The following is a 2,682-nucleotide window of genomic DNA, read 5'->3' on the forward strand; positions in this document are numbered from 1 at the left end:
TGTTTCCAGTTTAGGAGATCAGTGGTCAGAAAAGGCTGGTAGAAGAAGGTCCATTGCCCCCCTTGGACTTGACCCTGTTCATCATAATACATGGGTCCCTGCACCTCCCTGAGAGGCATTTGCATAGCCTGGGCATGACCAGTTTAGAGGCAGCCCGCTTGATCATCTTGACTTTCCCTCTTAACCTCTTGGGGCTCCAATCTTTCCTTTTGGGGTGGGACTCAGGGCATGTCACCATCTGAATCTGACTCCTTGGGGGCCATTGGCCTCAGTAAAGGGGGGTAGATTGAGATATATGGAGGAAGAATTTCTATCTCTTCTGGCAGTTCCTGCAAAAGTGGTTTTTCCTGTGGCTTTCCCTTTGTTTTGGTGGCTGACAGCGAAGCTGATTTTTCTTTCACTGTAGGCTCAGCTCAGGACATGAGTGTTTTGCAATAAGCTGCTAAGCAGGGCTACAGCCACACAGGCTGAGTTTGGACTATATTTAGCCATGAGTCAATATAAGGAAATTGGTCTGGGTGCTCTGGCTGTACCCCGACCCAAGTCACCACCTTAAATACATGATCAATTGTTTCCCTATCTATTGTTCCTTTGGCCGGCCATTCAATACGAAAAGAGGGCCATTCTATTTCACAGAGAGTTCTCAACCTCTGGGGGATCAACTTGATCCCATAATCCCGCCTTTAACCTTTCATAAAGTTCTTTAACATACATTCTAATGGGATGGGTTTTGATGACTTCCCTCCCATGTCCTCCCTGTTACAGCACAACACATTCACTCTCACTTTTGCTTCAGACCAATTAGTCCACCTCCTCCGCGGGAGTTTTCAGACACCACTTAGCTTTAATGGAGGGTTTGCATGAGCCCCAAACCCGGGCCACCACGATCACTAAATTGTGAGGTGCCTCCCTAAGCCATATGCAGTAGCCCTGGAAGGCATTCGCCATTAGTCCCGGTTGATCCCACACTTCGCTCGGAGTGTATGGTATACGCTAAGAGGCCTGTGGCCCCCACACTTCACTCCCTGCTTTGGTTCCTTCTGGAACTGCCTCTTTCACATGCATTCACACACTTCTCCACTCCCAGTTCCCCTTTCTAGGCTGGGGTGTCAGTTTCATAGAGCAATAAATGGTTAAAAATAAAGTGGTTAAGATTTGTTCAAGCACCTAATTCACAAAAACAATTTTCTAGTCTCTTTGTACAACTAGCTTATATTTGTTATGTGTATGAAAATGTCCTTGCTTGTGAGTCAAGTGTGGAATCCTAGGGAAAGTTATGATTGCAAATGAAGCATTGAAGTTCTATAGCAGTCATTGGATTTGTCTTTTACTTCTCTCCAGGACTTTCCTGACACCTGGAAATGTATTATTTTCCACAACAAAGTCTGGGAAATTTATATTTTGTCATTGAAAATAGAATACCAAGATTAGTTAAGTAATAGTCCAAGAGAAGATATTGAAAGCAGATATTACTATTAATAGATCAAAGCCACATCCAATGCAAGAGATATAGACTGAATCATAAGTATATTGTCATGATACTATGGGATATAAAATAAAAATTTCCTCCTCTTCAAAGATCCTGGTGTATTTGGATAAACTAAGCCCTAATTACTGTACTTTAAATCATTTAAAATAATCTGACAATAATATTGTACTATACAAAGATACATTTATTCAGTATTACTTAATGGGATATTTATTGAGTGTTATTGTGTGCTTTAGGCATTGGATGTACAAAATGAACAAAATAGACAAGATTCTGATCTAATGGAGTTTACATTCAATTGCACAAAAGAGATAATGAGTAAATCAAACAAATAAATGCATAACAAAATGGCAAGTAATGACATATGCTATGAAGAAAAATTGAGTAAGATAAGGAGAGAGAGCCACCATAACTACCGTTTAAGATAGAGGAGCTAGAAGGTGACATTTAAACAAAAATTTGAACAAAATTTGAGAACAAACCATAGAAATGTCTGGATGAAGAACACACAAGTGAAGGAAACATTAAGAGCAAAGTTCTTGAAATGAATTAATAATTGTCATATTTGATAAAGAGCAAGAAGTCCATTGTATTCTAAGCCTGGCACAGAAGCAGGGACTGATTTCAGAGAAATAATCAGGATTGAAATCATGTAGATTCATTCAAGCTAAGGTGAAGGGTTGGAACATTATTCCAAATGTCATTAAAAGCCTTGGGGGATTTGGGATATAAGAATGTGATGAGATGGTCATCACATTACATCAGAAATGGTCAATGTAAATTCTCTATAAAGAATAAACTGCAGCATGCTACTCATAAAATGAATGTGAAAGTGTCCTATTCACCTAATTTTGGGGGGAAGAAATTAAGAAGGATTGGCATTACTTCTTTAAATGTTCATCACCAGTGAAGGCAACTGGCCCTGGACTTTCCTTTGTTGGGAGGTTTTCAATTACTCATTTAATATTCTTGCTAGTTATGGGTACAGTCAGATTTTCTATTTCTTTATAATTTCATCTTGGAAGGTTGTGTGTTTCTAAGAAGTTATTTCATCTAGATTATCTAATTTTTTGCCATATAATTGTTCATAGTAGCCTTGTAGGATTCTTTTTCAATTCTGTGGATGAGTGGCAATGTTTTCTCTTTCACTTCCTATTTTATTTATTCGAGTTTTCTCTTTTTTACTTAATCTA

General features: G+C 38.8%; 1 annotated feature.

Annotated features, from left to right (window-relative positions):
• Positions 930-979: an enhancer, noted in NCBI's record as "active region_26549". NCBI's record gives its function as "activates an Ori minimal core promoter by ATAC-STARR-seq in GM12878 lymphoblastoid cells {active_cell/tissue: GM12878}" and the evidence as "EXISTENCE:reporter gene assay evidence [ECO:0000049][PMID:35858748]".

Source organism: Homo sapiens, chromosome 7, assembly GCF_000001405.40.
Source record: "Homo sapiens chromosome 7, GRCh38.p14 Primary Assembly".
Taxonomy (NCBI): Eukaryota; Metazoa; Chordata; class Mammalia; order Primates; family Hominidae; genus Homo; species Homo sapiens.